The 22,196-nt window shown below is 41.9% G+C and overlaps 1 pseudogene, besides 1 other annotated feature; it reads left to right on the top strand.

Moving 5' to 3' along the window:
• The first annotated feature begins 559 nt into the window (after window positions 1–559).
• On the top strand, window positions 560–3,039 carry LOC107986704 (uncharacterized; annotated as a pseudogene).
• Window positions 10,439–10,639: a silencer, noted in NCBI's record as "peak6547 fragment used in MPRA reporter construct". NCBI's record gives its function as "represses an SCP1 promoter by STARR-seq MPRAs in K562 erythroleukemia cells {active_cell/tissue: K562}" and the evidence as "EXISTENCE:reporter gene assay evidence [ECO:0000049][PMID:32103011]".

The raw sequence follows: 22,196 nt of genomic DNA, 5'->3' as shown, positions 1-22,196 counted from the left end.
TTTTTTTTTTTTTTTTTTTTTTGAGACGGAGTCTCTCGCTGTCACCTGGGCTGGTATGCCGTGGCGCAGTCTTGGCTCGCTGCAACCTCCACCTCCTGGGTTCAAGTGATGCTCCTGCCTTAGCCTCCCGAGTAGCTGGGACTACAAGCGTGCGCCACCAAGCCCATCTAATTTTTGTCTTTTTAGTGGAGTTGGGGTTTCACTATGTTGGCCAGGTTGGTCGAACTCCTGACCTCATTTCCACCCTCTTCTGCCTCCCAAAGTGCTGGGATTGCAGGCGTGAGCCACTGCGCTGGGCTATGTTTTTCTTTTTTTCTTTTCTTTTCTTTGAGATGGAGTCTAACTCTGTTTCCCAGGCTGGAGTGCAGTGGCACGAGCTCAGCTCACTGCAACCTCCGCCTCCTGGTTTCAAGTGGTTCTCCTGCCTCAGCCTCCGTGTAGCTAGGATTACATGCGCGTGCCACCATGCCCGGCTAATTTTTTGTATTTTTAGTAGACACAGGGTTTCACCATGTTAACCAGTTTGGTCTCAATCTCCTGACCTCGTGATCTGTTCACCTGGGGCTCCCAAAGTGATGGGATTACAGATGTGAGCCACTGCGCCAGACCTTTGCCATCAGTTTTTAAAGGAAACAGCTACTGAGCACTGGATGCTAGGTGGGCAGGTTTCTTCTTTCAGCTTTTTTTTTTTTTTTTTTAAGCCATCATACTTTAGAACCTTTCAGCGCTGTCAAATTATCTTCTGGCTTTTATTATTTATGTTGAGAATTTAGACCGGGCGTGGTGGCTAACACCTGTAATCCCAGCAATTTGGAAGGCCATGGTGGGTGGATCACATGAGCTCAGGAGTTGGAGACCAGCCTGGCCAACAGGTGAGGCCCTGTAGCAACATATGGTAGCCCTTTTTCAGTACATTGGCCTGATCCAGCTTAGTTGGATGTCATTTACATATGTGTCTTATATCTTAGATACAAGAGATTTCTTAAAAGCTTAAAGCATAACACAAATATTTACTTGACTGCACCATCTAACAAATCTAAATAAATACATTTCAGGTCTAGGCATTGCGTTTTGTATTTCTCTAAACCAGTGTGCGCATGTATTTCTCTAAACCAGTATGTGTGTATCACTTTACCCAGCCACAGCAAATGATTATGGATGAAATGGCTGCAGCAAAGCTAAAACTATGATATGCCTTTGAGAAAAAAATATTGAGCTGAGGCCACCGCTGTCGCGGCCGCCACAGCCGCCGCCATCTTCTTCCTGCCCTTGCCTTGGTGGGTGGCGGTTTCCTGCGCCGTGTCTGGCTTGGCCAGCCGGAGCACCGCGCTGGGCTCCATGCAGCCGGGCTGCGCGGCCGCTCAGAGCGGGTGCCTCCGGGGCTCCGGTCGGGGGCCTGGCAGGAGTGGGCCGGGGATGGCCGCGGCAGGCGGCAGGTCGGCCGTGGAGCCCCGGGGAGGCGGCCGCCACGATCGCTGCCCGAAGTCTGCGAGATGTCCGGCAGTCCGCTCAGGGCCCCTTTTGCAGACTCGGTGCCCGGTGTGCATCGATGCCGCCTGTCGGTCTTGGCACCGCTGGCGCAGCCGCCGCGTAGGAGGCCTGGCTCCAGATCCCCGACCCCTACGAGCGCCGGCCCTGCGTGCCTGCTATGTTGGTGCCATCTCTTCTGCATATTTATGCTTGCCTGTCACATTCCCTGGCCTCTGAGTGTCCTTTGGCAGTTTCCAAAGCATTTGGGCAAGAAGGAGCTTGGGGAGCTTCACAGCAGGTGGGGGTGCACAGGGGAGGGACCGCAGCCAGACCAGCAGAGCGCTTCAAGGGCTGCCACGCTGACGGACTTCCACACTGTCTTTCGGAACTGGGGTTAGGGGACAGCCCTTGGCCACCACCGTGTCCTTACTCTGTCACTTTACTTGGGCCTGGACCTCCCCTTTCCAGCTCTGGCGTGTGACACTGCACTGAGCATGGTGTCGAGACCACCACTGGCTGGGGCCGTGGCATGAAGGGTGCCCCAGGCTCGGGGAAGGTGGGGACCTTTTCCCCGCTCCCCAAATGATTTTTGCATGCTCTGGTGAGGGGACAGTTGTACTCCATTTCCCGTGTGCCAGCTTCGGGACTCAGCTGTGCTTTTGTGTCTCTTTGATTAGCAAAAGCAAAACGAATTCCTCCCTGAACACTAAGCTTCCTGGAAACTTCCCTAGACCTAAACCTGAGAACCGCATATAAACAGGCCTTGAGGGTTCTGTTGTCAGTAGCGGGTTACCTGATTGCAAACTGAGCAAGTTTAAAACGGAGTGGGCTGCTTTGGGCTGCACAGCCACCTGGCATTCTGACAGCTAAGCAGGAGGCAGAGGTGAGAGACCAAGATGGACTAAAAATGCCCTAGCCGCTGGGAGCCCAACTCGGCCCAGCCTCGTTGAAAGGAGGAACATTCGGTGCAGCCATCCGAACCTTATCCTTTATAAAACGGGACAGCTCACAGGATTACATTTCTAAGCCAATCCTGTGACCATCCTCCATGAAATTCTCTATTTTGGTTACATGTGGTCAAACTGAGCCTCACTGAAACAATTGAAAAATACTCTGGACAAATCTTAAGATATCGTTTTGAAAATCAAAAGGTATGGAAAATGTTGTGGCTTCTTTCTAAGCTTTCTTCAGCCCAAATTCTGTTATTCTCTGATCTTTTATGGTGTGAAATCATACCCATTCCATTATGTATTGATTGTCAAGAAGGAAGTAGGCTTTTATTGCTATGTTTATGTCAGTTTCCGTTTATTGTCTCACCACATTTATTGGGTTATTGCCTTTGCCTTTGACTCAACAGGAGCTGGAAGGGAAAGAATCCCAAATTCTGTTTCTTAAGGCAGCCAGTTGTCACAATGAACTTTCCTCATTTTCTATTGTGAGGCCTGAGGAAAGACATTCAGTTCCAAAGGCTGTGCCTATCCTTTTAAATAGAAGAGAGAGGGCCTGGCACGGTGGCTCATGCCTGTAATCTCAGCACTTTGGGAGGCGGAAGAAGGCGAATCGTGAGGTCAGGAGTTCGAGACCAGCCTGGCCAACATAGTGAAACCCCGTCTCTACTAAAAATACAAAGAATTAGCCAGGCGTAATGGCGGGCGCCTGTATTCCCAGCTGCTCGGGAGGCTGAGGCAGGAGAATCGCTTGAACCCGGGAGGTGGAGGTTGCAGTGAACCGAGATCATGTCACTGGACTCCAGCCTGGGCGACAGAGTGAGACTCCGTCTCAAAAAAAAAAAAAAAAAATAGAGAAGAGGAAGCAGCCGTGCCAAGGCTAGGTACTGACTGAAGCAGGAGGAACAAATTGGAAATGTGGGAATGTGAATGTGGGCAAGTTGAGGGACTTGTAGCTTCTCTTTGGTTGAATCTTTTTGCTGAAGCTGCTTTATTGTATCTGACATGTGAAACTGCACAATTTCAAACAAACCCCTATTGAAGTCAACATACAAAAAAGCATTTAAAGAACAGCCATTAGTGGCCAGGCACGGTGGCTCACGCCTGTAATCCCAGCACTTTGGAAGGCCGAGGCGGGCAGATCACGAGGTCAAGAGATCGAGACCATCCTGGCTAACATGGTGAAACCTCGTCTCTACTAAAAATACAAAAAATTAGCCAGGCGTGGTGGCAGGCGCCTGTAGTCCCAGCTACTAGGAAGGCTGAGGCAGGAGAATGGTGTGAACCTGGGAGGCGGAGGTTGTAGTGAGCCGAGACCGCGCCACTGCACTCCAGCCTGGGAAACAGAGTGAGACCCCATCTCAAAAAAAAAAAAAAAAAAAAACCATTAGTAAAAATAATTTTTTCAGTTAACGCTATTTTTCCCTTGTATAGGTGTTGGTAATCAGATAAATAGCTTATTGCATATGGAAAGTTGTTTTCTTTAAGTTAATTCAACCTATTGCAACTTAGAATCCAGGAAAATAGTATTTTCAAATATGTATTTGGAATCTTCAAAATATTAGATTACAAATTACCTTAAAATAATAAATATTTATGCAGCATAGAAGAATCAGCAGTTCTCTGAGGAAGGTAAATAGCAGTTAAAATATCATAATGCACTTTTTATCAGTTGTAAAAAGAAAGATCCAGGCTTAGATTTATGGTATTACCATTAGAAAAACAATGTGAGTATTTAAGAAACATAGCAACACTAGCCATTAAGTAGGCATCAAATAACATTCTGAATTAAGTTACAAGATAAAACCAAGATTTGGATGACAATGACAATATTGTCCATCATTGTTATCCAATTCCTGGTTTTATCTTATAACTGGTTTTAGGGGCAATTCTAGTGAATTGTCCCTAAAAGATGTTTGAAATTAGTTCCATACACTTTTCCTGAATCAACTTAAATATTGATTTCACAAACAATAAGATGGTGTGCTGTAGCATGTCATTGCACTAGAAAGAAAAGAAATACTCCACTAGTGGGGAATAATTTCAATAGAGGAAAGTGATGAATGTTGGATGTGAGTTCGGAAACCAGAGGTTGATAAAGTCTTACGATTGCTATATGCACTGTGAGGCTACTGTATTTGGAAAATTGCAAAACAAAATATTTTTTAAAGAACAAAAATCTGGTGAGTAGCATACACAGATTTCAAAAATAAATTGCATAACTTCATATTTCAGTAATTAAAGATTTAACAATTGTGATTTTGTGGCTAAACAAAATATACTGAACAATTATGTATAAACCATGGATTCAAAGCTCCAGAAAATTGTCTTAATGAGGCGTATAAACTCTTTTTGTTTAATGTCCACACCAAATCATTATGGTCTGCCATTTCATGAAATAACAAGAGTTTTAAAATAAGTGATGTTTTTTAGTTTGTGTATCTATATTCTTTCCTACCAGGTATAGCACAGTGTAGTACAAGGGCCTACAGTTGTAAGCCTTGGGAAAGATACTGTTTTGGCCACATATTTCAGCTATGTGACCCTGGAAAGTGGGTCTCAGAGGGACACTGTGGCCCTCAGTGTCTTTTCATTGGTAAATGGGGGCAACATCTCTTGTATAATGACAGCTGAAAAAAAATACGATTTTCCTTTTATTCTCCCTTCCTTTCATTTAGGCTGTAGTTTTCACTTTTTAACTACAAAGCGATTTATCTCTTGATAACACTTCTAGTGTATTGTCCCTAAAATATTTTTGAAAGTAGTTCTATACACTTTCCCTGAGTAATGAAAACATCATGTATTTGCTAACTTGGAAGAATCCCGAGTCAGGAGATGGCCTGGATTCTCTCTGACCCTTCAACTGAAGTCTTTGACCAAAGGAGCACAGGTGACCCCTCTCTCCTTCATTTTCTGACCTGTAGAGTTTTGGACTCAATGACTGATTCTCTCTTCTAGCTCCAAAATACTGGGCTAAACTCCATGGAACTCCCTTCTGAGTTAAAAATAGTAGACATGCCTGCACTATCAACATTTTTAGAAAATTATGAAATGCTTAGAGTCACTTTGTAATTGAGTCTAAGGTTTGAATGCATAGAGTTCAAATGCAATAACTGTGTTGATAACACAACAAAGACATGTACATTTTTATGTACCTTTATGTTCTATGCATTAGTCCTTCATTCCTTGGCATGAGGAGAAGTGATGGTTTTTCAGTGACCTTCCAGAACTCTAAGGCTGTGTTTCACCAGGCCTCAGGGTTTCTACAGTTTGAACAAATTTCTGATATTGTACCCATGCACACCTGAGTCTAAGAACTCTGCTGTAAGGTGACATTAAACAGCACCCGAAGTTATATTTGAGATGATTATTCAGTAATCATTGTACAGTTGATTTTCGTAGTAGGGATTCAAACACTGAATAGAGTGCAGTTTTAATTAAATCTGCATTTCTCAGTTGAAACTTTATTTTAGCAGTACATGATTTCTATTTCATGAATCATAAATGTCATGTGTCTTCACAAACTGTAGTTCTGAATTTATTCACCATTTTGTCGTCAAAAAGAAGAGTTGATGTTTTTGAAAGATCTAAACAGCTTTGCAACCGATGTTCTAAAGAAATAAAATATACCGCTGGAACCCCCCCCCCAAAAAAAAAAAAAAAACTGAGCTGAGTGCATTGGCTCCTGCCTGTAATCCCAGTACTTTGGGTGGCCAAGGTGGGAGGATTGCTTAAGGCCAGGAGCTCGAGATCAGCCTGGGCAATATAGCGAGATCCTGTCTCTACAAAAAACAACAACAAAAAATTTAGCCAGGGATTCTGGTGCACACCTGTAGTCCCAGCTACTTGGGAAGCTGAAGTGGGGAGGATCACTTGAGCCTGGGCAGTCATGGCTACAGTGAGCTGTGATCATGCCACTGCACTCTAGCCTGGGTTAATAGAGCAAGACCCTGTGCCAAAAAAAAAAAGGAAAGAAAAAATAAAGAAATGCCTTTAACACAGAGACCACCTCATGTATTGCAGGTTGCTGTTACTTTAGTGGAGTTAAGAGAAATAATTTTTGGTCAGTGACTTATTGAATAAATTGACCATTTGTGCTGCTTCCCTGGGCGAGGGCATAGAGAATGGTACAAAGTAGGCTACAGTAGCCAGATAATCTTGTATGTAATTTTGAGCTATTAGTCCGGAGAATGGCATGCTCAGATTAGAGTTATAATTTTGCTTAATCAAGGAGGGCGTGATCTAGTACAATAGAAGACCATTGTCTAGAACTCATTCCTTAAGAATGCTCCCCTGCTTGCTCTGCTCATTCCAGCAGCAATCAACTCTACATTTTATTCCAGGGAGTTGATTATCATTTGGAATTATTTGTCTAGACTAATGTTTGGATACTTTGTTTTGTTATATTTAACATTAAAACTCTGACATTGATTCTGTGTGACATTCACATTCATTTTGGAAGCATTGTATTTAATCATATGAAAGTTGGTGAAACTTGGATTACAGATTGCAAATGCTAATAAGTCTTTTATTAGAATTACGGTGTCTTCATACCATCAAGTTGAGGACTGAAAAATATTTAAGAAGAGTACCTATAAATCGAAAGAAAACAGTAATGACATAGAAAACTGAGCAAAGACAGTTAATTTATTCAAAGAAATTATACTAGTGCCAATAAATATCTGTAAAGGTGGCTAACCTTAGGGAAAAGCACGTTAAATGAATTTTTTTTGTTTGCCTGTCAGACTGACAAAAATTAAAGTTCGATAATGCTATGCTTATGAGGTTATGGGAGACCAGATTCCCTCATACACTGTAGGTGGGAATGTAAATGGTATAGCCTTTTTGTCAGACCAGTTTGGTATATGTCAGAATTTTAAATGCACATACCCTTTGGCATTCCGTTTCTGTTTCTAGCAAACTGCTCACATTTTGCGGTCTGCTCAAGGTCATGATCTGCTCATAACCTTGTCCTGCTTGGCTATCAAAGGTTTATAAATTTTGTTAGTACTATTTCTGAATTTAATAAAATACTTCATTGTCCTGTTTACTTCAGATTTTTTTTCTAGTCCCTTATTTGCTTTTATGTTTTGGCTACAGATAGCCTATCAAGAACCAGCTAGATGTTTCAGTTTATGTATTTTAAGTTTTGTTTCCATTTTGACTTTCCCTGCAGTTTGTAAACTTAGATAACCCTCACCTCTTTAGAACTTTCATGAATACTTCATTTTAGTTCTTTCTATTTTCTGTTTGTTTCTACAAACTTTTAACTTTTTAAAGATACCTGTAATTAATGTAGGGGGTATCAGATTGCTGACCAGTTATTACAACACTATTGAAAATTTCCCCTTCCCCTCCTTCTTCTAACATTAAATTACCTTATATTAGATTAGATTAGATTAGATTCATTTTTGAGTCAGTCTGTCCTGTAGTGGTTTGACAGGTCTGTTCTTGAGTTCACAGTCTTCTAACTAGTTTGCAAATAAAAATTCAGAAAATTAATTTAGAAAATCAAAAAATAATTTAGTGTTTATTTTTGCTGACAGAATCATTTTGTTGAGTTCCAGAAAGTCTTGTGGGATTTTTATTGCCATTTGTAGTAAACTTACACATTTTGGAATGTTTGACATGGTTATAAGATTTTATTTTCGCACATTGCGTTAAGTATATCTCAGTGTTTCCATGTGGATTATAATTTTCTCATTAAAATATTTTCTATAAGTCTTTACATATTCATGCTATTTTGACTGATATCTCTTTTTATACTTTCTAACTTGTTATTGTTTGTCTGTTACAAGAGTTCCACAGATTTCGTGTACCTATTTAGCTTATTTCACATAAATATGAATTCTTTTATGAAAGTTAGCCATTTTAAAGTTAATTTCTCAGCAGTAACAGTGTTTTATTTTCTTTAGGCCTTCCAGATATACAGTCATATTTCTTATATTACACGGTAAGCTCCACAAGGACTGAAATGATTTATTTTTACTTATATTTGTGTCCTAAGTGCCTGTCATTCAGTAATCAATCAGTATATAAATATTTGTTGAATGAGTGCAAGGGAACACTATAAGAATATGTACCATATACAGTGACTCTATGACTAAAACTTTTTTTTCTACTTGTCTATATATATCAGGTTTTGTAAATAATGAGTATTCTTTGCTTCAACTAGAAAAAAAAAACAAATTTAAGGGAAAAAAATCACCTGTAAGTTTTATTTCTTAATTGAGGTCAATGGATAGCTTATCATTTTGCTGGAATTGATTGGATGTTTCCTGTAAGTCCCAGATGAGTTGTCTGGAGATAGGAATGACCTCTGAGGGCATGACATTGAACCCAAGAATAGGAAGCAGGGCCCGCTCAAGGATAGAGGGAAACTACTCACATCTGTAAAGTGTTTTGGTTTTGCTTTTCTGAGATGAAACTGGTTTGCATCCAGAGTCTTAAGAAAGAACACTAATAGTTCTGTGAGCTTTGTAAGTAAGCTTTGTACCTCTCTGGTCTTTGTAGGTACCTGGACCTAGAATAAATCCTAGCCCTGGGGCACAATTTATAGAATCCTAACTGTCCCAGCAGCAGAGATCATTTTTACTCTGTCTTCCCTGACATAAGTGGGACCAATTGAATCGTGCATTCTTTATGCCCAGGTTGCTCAATCAAGCTCCTATTTATTGGAGTGCAGTGCTCAAACAGGAGTGGCATGTGGCCCCTTGGAGCTCCCTCCTGGAAGCAGTGCTGGTGGTGGTTACCTGTCTAGGGACAGGTCTGTCTGCCCAGGAAAGAGTTGAGTCTCATGCAGTCGATCCCCCATGTTTCTTCCTGTGTTTACAGGATATGCTGTCTGTAGCTCTGATGTCCAATCTGGGTGTGCCGACTCTCCTGCCTTCTACCATAACAGCTGTCGGCACCACCACATAGCCTTTCAAATGATGGCACTCTCTTTTGGTGGTACCCTTGCTCTCTTTTTATACTTAGAAGCAGCAGAATGATCTGAGTGTTGTGTTTAACTGATACACATTAGTCCCATGATAGGTGTTTATTTTTATTAAAAAACATTCATGTGTGATTTTTAACAAAACTTTAGAATTTGGAATAATTAATAACGTCAAATCCATAGGAAGCTGTAAGGATAATACAGACAGGTCCTGTGTACTCTTCTGGTTTGCTTAATGGTTACATCTTACATAACTATAATATAATGTCGAAACTAGGAATTTGATATTTGTGCAATGTATGTGTATAGTGTCATGCACATTTTATCTCATACATAGATTCCTGTAGCCACCACCATAGTCAAGATACAGAACTATTCCATTACCCGAAAGACCTCCCTTATGCCCTTTTAGTCACATCCTATGTCAGCAGTCCCCAGGGCTGCCCCCAGGTTTCGTAATTCGCTCAAGGCTCTCACAGGACATTCTTTGCTATGGTTTGTTACAGTGAGGGGATACAAAGCAGGATTAATAAAGGGTAGTTGTGCATTGAGAAGATTCTATAGGACACGAGCATTGTGAAGATTCGGAGTCTTCTCTCCGTAGAGTTGCCCAGTTTGTGCTTACTTCCCCAGCCATAAACTCTAGCAACACATGTGAAGTGTTTTCTATTGTGAAAGCTCACATGAGCCTCAGAATCCAGGGCTTTTATTGGAGATGGGTCACATAGTGTATTAGTTTGTTCATTCTCACATAGCTATAAAGAAATACCTGAGACTGAGTAATTTATAAAGAAAGGAGGTTTAATTAGCTCACAGTTCTACAGGCTGTACAGGAAGCATTGCAGCTTCTGCTTCTAGGGAGGCGTCAGGAAGCTTCCAATCATAGTGGAAAGCAAAGGGGGAGCAAAGTGTCTCCCCTGGTGGGAGCAGGAGCAAGAGAGAAGGTGCTACACACGTTTAAACAACCAGATCTCACAAGCACAGAACCACAGGGGATGGTGTGAAACCATTCATGAGTAACTGCCCCATGATCAGATCACCTCTCACAGGCCCCACTTCCAACATTGGGGATTTCGATTCACCATGACATTTGGGTGGGTACACAGATTCAGACCATATCACATAGGCATGTAGTTCCTTTGCGACTGATCACTATTACAGCAACTCCAGAAGGAAAGCAGGTGTTTACCATAAATCATACAGTTCACATAAAATATCTAGAGAAGCTGGTACAGTGTGGTTCAGTACCGTAAGCATACAAAACACCCTTATCATTTAGGGCATAGGGCTAGTACAAGACCTCAGTTTCTAGGCGCTGACCAAGGGCCAGTCTCAGAAGCAGGCTCGTCTGAGAATGTGCATCATTTGAGCAACTCAGCTTGCTGAGTTAACTGCTTATACTATTTTCCTTCCCCTCCTCTCCCTTGCCTTCACCACTGTTAACCTGGAAAAAGCACTAATTTGTCCTCCATATCTGTAGTTTTGTCATTTGGAAAGGTAGTATAAATCCTAGAGTATGTGACCTTTTAAGATGGACTTTTTAAAAAACTCAGCATCTTGCTCTTGAGCATCCAGGCTTTTGCATGTGTTAACAGTTTGTTCTTTTTAGTGTTCGGTATTCTCTTGTGTGGTCATGCCCCAGTTTGTTTAACCATCCCATAGATGTTTATTTTCCCTTGTAAAGTTGATGAGCATGTATAATTTTTTTTCTTTTTTGAGATGGGGTCTTGCTTTGTTGCACAGGCTGGAGTGCAGTGGCATGACCTCGACTCACCACAGCCTTCACCTACCGGGTTCAAGTGATTCTCCTGCCTCAGCCTCCCTAGTAACTGGGACTACAGGCACGCACCACCATGCCCAGCTAATTTTTGTATTTTTAGTAGAGATGGGGTTTCACTGTGTTGGCCAGGCTGGTATCCAACTCTTGCCCTCGTGATCTGCCCGCCTCAGCCTTCCAAAGTGCTGGGATCAGAGGCGTGAGCCACCGTGGCCGGCCAGCATGTATAATTTTAACGTAATTGCTAATCACTCATGAGGGGAAGAGATTTTTAAACATTTTTAAATAATAGAGACAGGGTCTTGCTATGTTGCCCAGGCTGGTCTTGAACGCTTGGCTCCAAGCCATCCTCCCACCTTCGCCTCCCAAAGTGCTGGGATTATAGGCGTGAACCATTGCACCTGACCCTGGGGGAAGGGACTTTTGTATTTATTAAGCATTTAGTATGTATCATTGCTCTATAGCCATGTTATTCTATAGTCTCTACAGTAACCTTATTCATTCAGTTATTCTTTCAACAAAGATTTGAGAACGTATGATATGCTTGGTTGTGTAGGGAAAAACAATTCTCAAACTGTATTTTTCCTCTGTTCACGCCACAGTAATCATCAACACAGAAGACTTCCGTGACCATATGTGTGGGGATTCTTCCCCTACACACCACACCAGCTGGGTGTCTTCTAGTTTACTTCCTGCACCATCTACCAGGAGGTAGTGTCAGATCGCACAGGGTGAGGACTCAGTCCTCATGACTGCCCCTCCTAACCCCCATCAGTTGCAACTCCGGGCCTCCAGGACTTCTAACTGACCAGCTTCAAGTTGGGGTTCCCATGGCTCCCTTTTTAGGTTCGATGAATTTGCTGAGGTGGTTTACAGAACTCAGGGAGATGCTTCTGTTTTCCGGTTTATTACAACAAATATTGCAAAGGATCCAGAGGAAGGAGATGCTGGGGGCGAAGAATGGGGGAAGATGCGAGCTTCCATGCTCTCCCTGGGTGCACACCCTCCAGGAACCTCCACTGTGTTCAGCTATCTGAAAGCTTCTTGGGCCCAGTGCTCTTGGGTTTTTGTGGAGGTTTCCTGACATCAGCATTCATCCCTGAGAGTATAGAGCGGGCCCCTCCCTGAGGAGGGTTTAAGACCAGTCATCAGAAAGGCACGGGGAGTAGAGTCCTGCCTTGGGGCAGGTGAAAGGAGGGCAGAAGAAAATCAGAGAAGCTGCCCACGAGGCCTAACACACCCAACCTTGTAACAAAAGCCTGGGGCTGGGACTGGTGGCTCACGCCTGTAATCCCAGCACTTTGGGAGGCAGAGGTGGGTGGATCACTTGAGGTCAAGAGTTCGAGAGCAGCCTGGCCAACATGGTGAAACCCCGTCTCTACTAAAAATACAAAAATAGCTGGGCATGGTGGTAGGTACCTGTAGTACCAGTTACTCGGGAGGCTGAGGCAGGAGAATCTCTTGAACCCGGGAGGCAGAGGTTGCAGAGAGCCGAGATCTTACCATTGCACTCCAGCTTGGGCAACAGAGTGAGACACTGTCTCAAAAAAAAAAAAAATGCCTAATATGAGCGCTATGGTAGTTACCAGCCAGGAACCGTGGACAGAAGTCAATATATATTATAACACCACACTGGTACTATTTGAGTCACTAGAAATGTAACAGTGGAGAAGGAAAATAAGGTCTCTGTCCTCATTAAATTGCATTCTGGCAGTGAGGGAGACAGACCAACAGGTAAATAAGTAAATAAAAAATATTTACTAGAAATAAGACATGGAGGCTGGGTGTAGTGGCTCATGCCTGTAATTCCAGCACTTTGGGAGGCCAAGGTGGGTGGATCACTTGAGGCCAGGAATTCAAGATCAGCCTGGTCAATATGGCGAAACCCTGTCTCTACAAAAAAATTCAAAACTTAGCCAGGTGTGGTGCCACATGCTGGTAGTCCCAGCTTCTCAAGAGGCTGAGGTGAGAGGATCGCTTGAGCCTGGGTAGGTCGAGTGCAGTGAGCCCATGATCGTACCACTGCTCTCCAGCCTAGGTGACAGAGTGAGACCCTGTCTCAAAAAAAAAAAAAAAAGGGAAAAGAGAAAGAAATAGCACATGAAGCTCAGGCATGGTGGCTCACATCTGTAAGAAGTTAAATACCAGCCTGGGCTATGTTGTGAGACCCCGCCTCTACCCCTCCCAAAGAATAATAAGAAATAGGACATGGAGAAGCGGCATTTGGCCCAGGACAGAGGAGAGGGTTGGGTAGGTTGGGGTAGGTAGTATTTCACAGAGGCTAGGGAAGGCCTCTCACAGTTTGATGTGAAAGCTTAGATCTAAACAATGAGAAAGAAACCACAACCTGGACAGCAAGGAGCATAGCATTCCTCACATTGGAACAGCATGTGCAAAGGCTCTCCCAGCAAAGGGGGAAGTGGAAAGGATAGCAGTTTAAAACAACATTCATTTATTTTTTATTTTTATTTTTTTTAAAAGACAAGGTCTCTGTTGCCCATGCTGGAGTTCAGTGGTGCAGTCATAGCTCGCTGCAACCTCAAATTCCTAGTCTTAATCAGTCGTCCTACTTCAGCCTTCCTAAGTACCGGGAATACAGGCATGAGCCATCGCCCCTAGTCCATAGCACTCATTTATTATCTCTTTAAGTTCTGTAGATTAGAGGTCCAAGCAGGCTCCGCTGGGTATTCTGCTGAGGACCTCAGGAGGTCAGAATTAAGCATCGGCCAGCCTGGGTTTTTATTTGGAGGTGATAGGGAGAGTCTCCTTCCAGACTCACTCATGTTGGCAGAATTCATTTTCATGTGGTGAAGGTCTGAGGTCCTCATTTCTTTGCTGGCTGTCAGCCAGAAGTCATTCTCAGCTTCTAGAAGCCACTCAAATTTCTTGGCTTTTAGTCTCCTCCAGCTTCAAAACCATAAATAGTGCTTTGACTCTAACTTCACATTGTGTCTCTTCTGTTTTTTAAAAAGACAGCTTTATTGAGGTGTAATTCACATACTATACAATTCTCCGTTTTAAAAGTGCACAATTAAGTAACAACCATTACCGCAGTCAACTTTAGAACATTTTCATCATCTCAAAAAGGAACCCATGCCCTTTCTCTATCCCCTTTATTCCCATCCTCTCCCCTCTTAGTGCTCAGTGACCACCACTCTATTTTCTGTCTCTAGATTTCCCTGGTATGGATGTTCAGATGAATGGAATCATATAACGGGTGGTCTTTTATAACCGGCATCTCTCACTTAGCATGTTTTCAGGGTTCACCATGTTGTAGCATATATCAGTACTTCATTCCTTATTATGACCAAGTAATATTCCATTTTATGGATATACCACATTTTGTTTATTAATTCATCATCTGATGTACATTTGGGTTGTTTCTGCTCTTGGACTATTACGGATAATGCTGATACAAACATTGATGTACAAGTTTCTCTCTGGACACGTTTTTATTTCTCTTAGTCTAGGAGTGAAATTGCTGGTTTCTATGGTAATATTGTTTAATCATTTGAGAAACTGCCAGACTTCTCCACAATGGCTGTACCATTTTACATTTCTACAAGCAATGTATGAGGGTTCCAGTTTCCCCACATCCTTGCCAACACTTGTTATTTCTGACTTTTTGGTTCTAGTCACCCTACTGGATGTGAAGTGGCATCTCATTGTGGTTTCGTTTTGCATTTCCTTGATGACTGATGATGTGCAACATCTTTTCACATACTCATGACTGTTTGCCTTTCTTTCTGGAGAAATGTCCATTCAGATCTTTTACCCGCTGAAACAGTTGTTACTTACTTTTTATTATTGAGTTATAAGAATTCTTTATGTATTCTGGTTTACGAGTTCCTTATTACATAAATGACTTGCAAATATTTTCTCTGATTCTGTGGGTTCTGTTTTCACTTGATAAGGTCCTCTGAAGCACAAAGATTAAAATTTTGTTGGAGTACAATTTATCTGTCTTTTTTTGCTCCTGCTTTTGGTGTCATATCTAAAAATCCTTTGTCAAATCCAGTGTGAAAATTTTACCTGTATATTTTCTTCTGAGAGCTTTAGTTTTAGCTTTTACATTTAGGTCTTTGATTGATTCTGAGTTAATTTTTGTACATGGTATGAAGTAAGCATCTAACATCTAACATCGTTCTTTTGTACGTGGCTATCCAATTTTCCCAGCACTATTTGTTGAAAAGACTCTTTTTTCTCCATTGAATGGTCTTGGTACTTTTGTGGAAAATCAGTGGACAGAAGACGTGTGGGTTTATTTCTGGAATCTCAATTCTATTCCATTGATTTCTATGACTGTCCTTGTACCAGTACCACACTGTAGTAATTACTGTGGCCTTGTAGTAACTTGAAATCAGGAAATGTAAGTTTTCTTACATTCTTTTTGAAGATTGTTTTGGCCATTCTGGGTCCTTGTTCTCTTCTGCATTTTAGGGTTCATGTGCTTTTGTTGGGCCCATCTAGATAATCTAGGATAATCTCCTTATTTCCATTATCAGTCAACTTAATTATATCTGCCAAGTCTTTTTCGCAGTGTAAGGTGACATAATCACAGTTGTAGCACCAGAGAGTGAAGGTTATGGGTGCACAGGTCCTATGAGGCTTAGTTTGGTGAAAAGATAGAGAATGATAGGAGCAGAGAGGCTGGAGAGGGAGATAGCAAAGGGAGTTTCAGAAATATTACATAGTTTGCCTAAAGTCACATTTCTAGTATGTAGCAGAGCTGGGGTTTGAGTGCAGATTTGACTGATCTCTGTGATTTCATGGTCCACACCAAATAAGTCTTCTTAGACTCGGAGCTATTGTTATTGTTTCTGTCTAATTCATACTGAGCTTTTAATGTGTGCCAAGTAATCCACAGAGCACTCCTTTATTTTTTTTCTAGCTCTTAAAGAGCATCTGTACAAGTCTTTTGGCATAGATAATAGGCTGTACTGGAACTAGCTTGATAAAAAAAGAAAAAAGCAGTTAGGGGACCAGGGTGTATGACTCAGAATCTGAGGGTGGGCGTGCACCTAAACCTTAGCCAGGGATTGGAACTGGGAGATTGAAGTCACTCAGGACGTACAGGACCTTCTACCTTTCTCTGCTTCTTGGCGTATGTCTATTTCACTCTGTGGACTGTCCTGATACTTGGACCACTTGATGGAAGATGGTCATGTCACACAGCTCCATCATTCAAGAGAACAGCCCCGACTTAGTCCCATTTGCAAAACTCCAAGCAAAAGACTCTGACACAGTTTGGGGCAATCAGCTGTGACCCTGAATTGGGGGACCATTCAAATTATACAAACATAGCTTCTGCCAGCTTATCTTTGTGGATTCGGAGGACAGTTTCCTGATACACAGGAGATATTTGCACATGTGCTAGGCAGACTCCCCAAATTATGTTCATTTTAGTAACATCTACTAGTATTATCATACTTGTAGTACAAAATTTTAAAAACTTAATTGATCTATGGAAAAAATAGGTATTTCCTTTTGCTCATTTCTCTTGGAAGGGAAGAAAAGGGACATCAGGATGATAATGGCGAGAAGATTAGCTCAGACTTTCAAAATAATTTGAAACCCAGGACTTGGTATACTAAGTGTAGGCTTACTTGAGCCCAGGAGTTCAAGACCAGCCTGGATAACGTGGCAAAACACCGCCTCTACAAAAAAATACAACAATTAGCCAGGCATGGTGGCTGAGTGGTGGGAGTATTGCTTGAGCTCAGGAAGTGAAGGCTGCAGTGAGCTGTGATCACGCCACTGCACTCCAGCTTGAATGACACATCCTGTGTTCCAAAAAAAAAAAAAAAAAAGGAAGCTTAGTGATGTCTCTGCCACTTAATATCTTTTTGATGGAATAAGTTATGATTTCTTAATGTTAATATCTTCATCTCTTACAATAGGACGTAGTAGATGGTCTTTAAAGTTTCTGCAGGTTAACATTTTAGGACTATTTTTCTTTTCTTTTTTTTTTTTCTACTTCTCATTTTCTTTGTTTCTACCTAAGCCTCATCTACTATTTATAAATGGCTGGTGTCTTAGATCTAAATCCTGACTATGGGAGGCTTTAACCTTGTAGACGAAGTAAACAGTGAACTTGAGAGTTCTTTCTAATTAGATTTCCCTCTCCCCGCGAGGTCTCATTAAATAACTCTTACAGATCTGACCTCTAAGGTAGATTACCACCCGTCATCTTTCCCTTCCCATTGTGTTACCTCTTATTTATTTATTTATTTTTGAGACAGGATTTCACTCTGTTGCCCAGGCTGGAGTGCAGTGGTGTGATCTCGGCTTACTGCAGCCTCTGCCTCTGCCTCCCAGGTCCAAGCGATTCTCGTGCCTCAGCCTCTTGAGTACCTGGGATTACAGGCAAGCGCCACCACGCCTGGCTACCCACTGTGTTACCTCAAGTCCTCTAATTGTAGTTGTCTCTTGGTCAGTATCCGTGTCTCCTGTTCTGTACTTCTCCCTAATCCAACCTAGAAATTGCCTCTCAAGTTTCTTCTTCTTTTTTTTTTTTTTTTTGAGATGGCGTCTCCCTCTGTTGCCCAGGCTGGAGCACAATGGCATGATCTTGGCTCACTGCAACCTCCATCTCCCAGGTTCATGCGATTCTCATGTCTCAGCTTCCCGAGTAGCTGAGATTACAGATGTCTGCCACCATGCCCAGCTAATTTTTGTATGTTTAATAGACTAGATGGGGTTTTGCCATGTTGGCCAGGCTGGTCTTGAACTCCTGCCCTCATGTGATCCACCTGCCTCGGCCTCCCAAAGTGCTGGGATTATAGGCATGAGCCACCATGCCTGGCCGAGGTTTTTTTTTTTTTTTTTTTTTTTAATCATAGAGTAAAATTGATTTGGGAGGAGTATAATGTTCTGCGAATTTTTTAATTTTATTAGATTTATGTAAACACCTCCACAATCAGAATACAGAACAGTTTCATCACCCCAAAAAACTTTCTTATGCTAATCCTTTATAGTCACATTCTTTCCTACCCCTAGTTCCTAAATGGAATCATACAGTATGTAAACTTTTAAGATGACTGCTATGGTCTGAATCTTTGTGTGTCCCCCAAATTCATATGTTGAGATTCTAAACCACAAGGTGATGCTACTAGGAGGTGGAGCCTTTGGGAGGTGATTAGTTCATGAAAGTGGAGCCCTCATGATTGGGATTAGTGCACCTGTAAGAGACGGCAGAGAGCCTAGCCATGTGAGGACACAGGGAGAAGGTACCTTCAGTGAACCACCAGACACCAACATCTGTTGACTTCTTGATCTTGAACTTGCCAGCTTCCTGAACTGTGAGAAATAAATTTCTGTTTTTTATAACCTACTCAGTTTATGGTATTTTGTTACTGCAGCCAGAAGGAACTAAGATTCTGGCTTCTATCAGCATAAAGCCTCTGAGATTCATCGAAGTTGTTGGGTGTACTAATACCTGTTGTTGTTGTTGTTTTCCTGAGTAGCATTCTGTTGTATGGAGGCACCATAGTTTGTTTATTCATTCACCCATTGAAGGATATTTTAGTTGTCATTTTTTTGTCATCACAAATATTGCTACTATAACTGTTTAAGTACCGAATTTTGAGTAAATAGCAGTTTTTATTTCTTTAGAGGAAATACCCAGGAGAGGGATTGCATGGTTGGATGGTCATTGTATGTATACATTTTTATGAAACCATAAAAGTGTTTTCTCTAGTGTCTGTACTATTTTGCATTCCACTAGGAAGGTATGAGGGTTTTAGTTGCTCTGCATCCCTGCTACCGCTTGGTATTGTCAGTATTTATTTTTTTTCTGAGGTGGGGTCTCACTCTGTCTCCCAGGCTGGAGGGCAGTGGTGTGATCTTGGCTTGCTGCAACTTCCACCTCCCAGGCTCAAGTGATGCTCCCACCTCAGACTACTGAGTAGCCGCGACCACAACCATGCACCACCATTGCTCCCTAATTTTTTTTGTATTTTTTTTGGTAGAAACAGGGTTTTGCCATGTTGCCCAGGCTGTGTCAGTATTTTCTATTTTAGCCATTCTAATAGATTTGAGTGATATTTCATGGTGGTTTTAATTTGCATTTCTCTAATGACTGAACAATGTTGAACAAGTATTCATATGCTTATTTGCCACCATGTCAATAACTGCAAGGGACCTGAATTTTGAGTTCTCCCTACTTAAATGTAGCAAGTTAGTCTCCATGGTTTCATGGATATTGGCCCAAGACATGAAACTCCTGGGTTGGAGGCAAAAGAGGAGGACACAGGTCACAGGACATCAGCAGAACCAGCTTCATGTCCACGTGGACTACCTTTGCCCTGTAAATTCCCTGTGGGCAACGACACAAGTAGGAAATCCAAGCTCAGGGAACTCAGATCTCATAAGGGGTGGCAAACAAATGTCTCAAACCTTTGATATGAAGGGAGACATTATATTTACTGTACTGGACAGTTAACAAATTGTCTTCTGCTGTGGAAGGAGCTATCATCTTTCTCTTGTAAGGATGTTCAATATACAAACATCTTTGACTGGACAGTATGTAGCAAAGGCTTCTCACGGAAATGTGGGACACCAGTATGTATATCTTCTTTAGTAAAGTGTCTGTTGAGATTTTTTGCTCATTTTTAAATTGGGTGGTTTGTTTTCTGACAACTGAGTTTTGAGAGTTCTTTATATATTCTGGGTATGTAAGTTCTTTGCCAAATAGGTGATTTGCAATTATTTTCTCCCATTCTGTAGCTTGTCTTTTCATTTTCTAAACAGTTATTCCCAGAGCAAAAGTGTTTTGTTGTGTTGCCAAGTTTGGTATACAGGTTCTGTGGGCTGTGGCTTTAATGTCAGTATATTGTTTAGAGTTTTGTAGTGCTGTTTCCATCTGTTTCATGTATGTGCTGATCTGAGACCTGCATAGTGGTCTCTCCGTTAGTTCCAATTTGGAAACCTTTGGTACGGAATAGCGTCAGATCCATGCATATGCAGCCTAAGGGTAAGCCTAGAAATTGCTTTCTTGAGTTCTCCTCAGCAATTTTTCCCACACTTTTTGTTCTCAAAGGGCTCATATTTTCTTTCTTTTGTCCAGAAAACTGTGGATTTAGTTACTCCACTCTGCCATGTCTTTCCACCACTGCCTGCACATTTGAGACCAAGGATAGAGATTGGGAAAAATTGATAGTTCTCCTGCCTCAGAGTTTGGCTCCTGCACTCTCATTTCAGCCATAGCTGCAGACAAAGCACACGATTGCTGGGCACTGTGGCTCAAGAGAAGGAGGAGATGGTAAGTGGGGGGATCCCCATATTCTCTCTGGCTGTTAGGATTTCCCTTTCACATGCCTGAAGCCCCAACTAGAAGAGCTTTCTCTGTGCTGTGGGGCCCATTTCCAGGTTGGCTGGTGGTATTGAATGGGAGAAAGTGGTAATCTCTTAGATGGCTGGGTGATACTTTCAATTCTGGTCTTCCCCACATCTCCATTTTGCTTTTCAGAATCCTCAAAAGTAGTGCACACTGTATACTGTCAGGTTTGATAGCTGGTGACTCTCCATCCGCACTTGGTAGCTTCGAGTTTTAAAAATCCATGATGATTTGACTTCCCACCTAACTTCTTTAGTTTACCTTCTGTCTATACTACATCATTCATATTTTACATTTGCCTTCCTGCTTCTGAGCTTTTTGTGAAAGGCATTCTTCCTGTCCAGAATATCCTTCCTCTTTCTGTCATGTTTCCAAGACCCTTTCAACACAAGGCTCTTTAAGGTCTATCACCAGCATCCCCAAGTGGTCTCTCTATACTCACTAGGTCAGAATTTGTATGTGTGTTACTCCCCAACAGTTTCCTAACACTTTCCCTTTTTCCGCGTTTTTCAGTCTGGCTGTACTTTTGGTTATGAGCTTCATGAGGGCAAGGACGTGTTCTATCCGTTGCATCACCAGTGCCATCTAGCTTAATTCTCTGCACACAGTTGGCACTTAGTAAATGTTTGAGTTAAATTAATGAGACCTCCAAGATATAGGGCCTAATTTTATCTGCACATGTGAGTCTCTTGAATGAATGCTGTAGAGTGCTGCTTTTTTACTGTGCTTCTTTGGCAGTTTGTTATTGTGGAGAAGAATGAGGACCATGTGGTTTCAGTTTGAAAGGAAATTGTTACATAGCGATTTACCATACAGCTGTGAGACTATGAACAAATGAGTTTAAATATTACACAGTGGAAAAGAAAACTGACTTTGGAAATTATGATGTTACTTCAATTTTTTTCTCTTCTCTTCTTTCTGGACAAGGCCTTGCTCTGTCACCCAGGCTGGGGTGCAGTGATGTGATCATAGCTCACTGCAGCCTCCATCTCCTGGAGAGGCGATCCTCCTGTCAGCCTCCCGAGTAGCTGGGACTACAGGCATACACCATCACACCCCACTAGTTTTTGTATTTTTTTGTAAAGATGGGGTCTTGCTGTGTTGCCCAGGCTGGTCCTGAACTCCTAGCCTCAAGTGATCCTCCCACCTTGGCCTCCCAAAGTGGCATGAGCCACTATGCCCATCGTGGGTTTGTTTTCTTTTACAGTAGCCATCCTAATGGGTATGAAGTGATATCTCATTGTGGTTTTGATTTGCATTTCCGTGATGATTAGTGATGTTGAGCATTTTTTCACATGTTTGTTGGCTGTTGGTATATCTTTGGAGAATTGTCTATTGAAGTCCTTTTCCCATTTGTTAACCAGATTATTATTATTATTTTTTTTGTTATTGGCTTGTAGGAGTTCCTTTATATTCTGGATATTAACCCCTTATTATATATGTGGTTTGCAGATATGTTCTCTCATTCTGTGTGTTGTTCCTTTTTACTCTGTCAGTTGGTTCCTGTGTTGTGCAGACATTTTAAATTTTGATGTAATTAATATATTTGTCTGATTTTGCTTTTGTTGCCTGTGCTTTTGGTGTCATATCCTAGAAGTCATTGCAAAATCCAGTGTTGGGAAGCTTTTCCCCTAAGTTTTCTAGTTTCCAGCCTTTACATTTAGGTATTTAATCCAATGTTAGCCCTTTCTTAATGGGTTCTGTGTATTTTCGGCAGGGAATAAGTCT

The sequence above is a fragment of the Homo sapiens genome, chromosome 7 (genome assembly GCF_000001405.40).
Source record: "Homo sapiens chromosome 7, GRCh38.p14 Primary Assembly".
Classification (NCBI taxonomy): Eukaryota; Metazoa; Chordata; class Mammalia; order Primates; family Hominidae; genus Homo; species Homo sapiens.
This window is presented reverse-complemented; position numbering and strand designations above follow the sequence as displayed.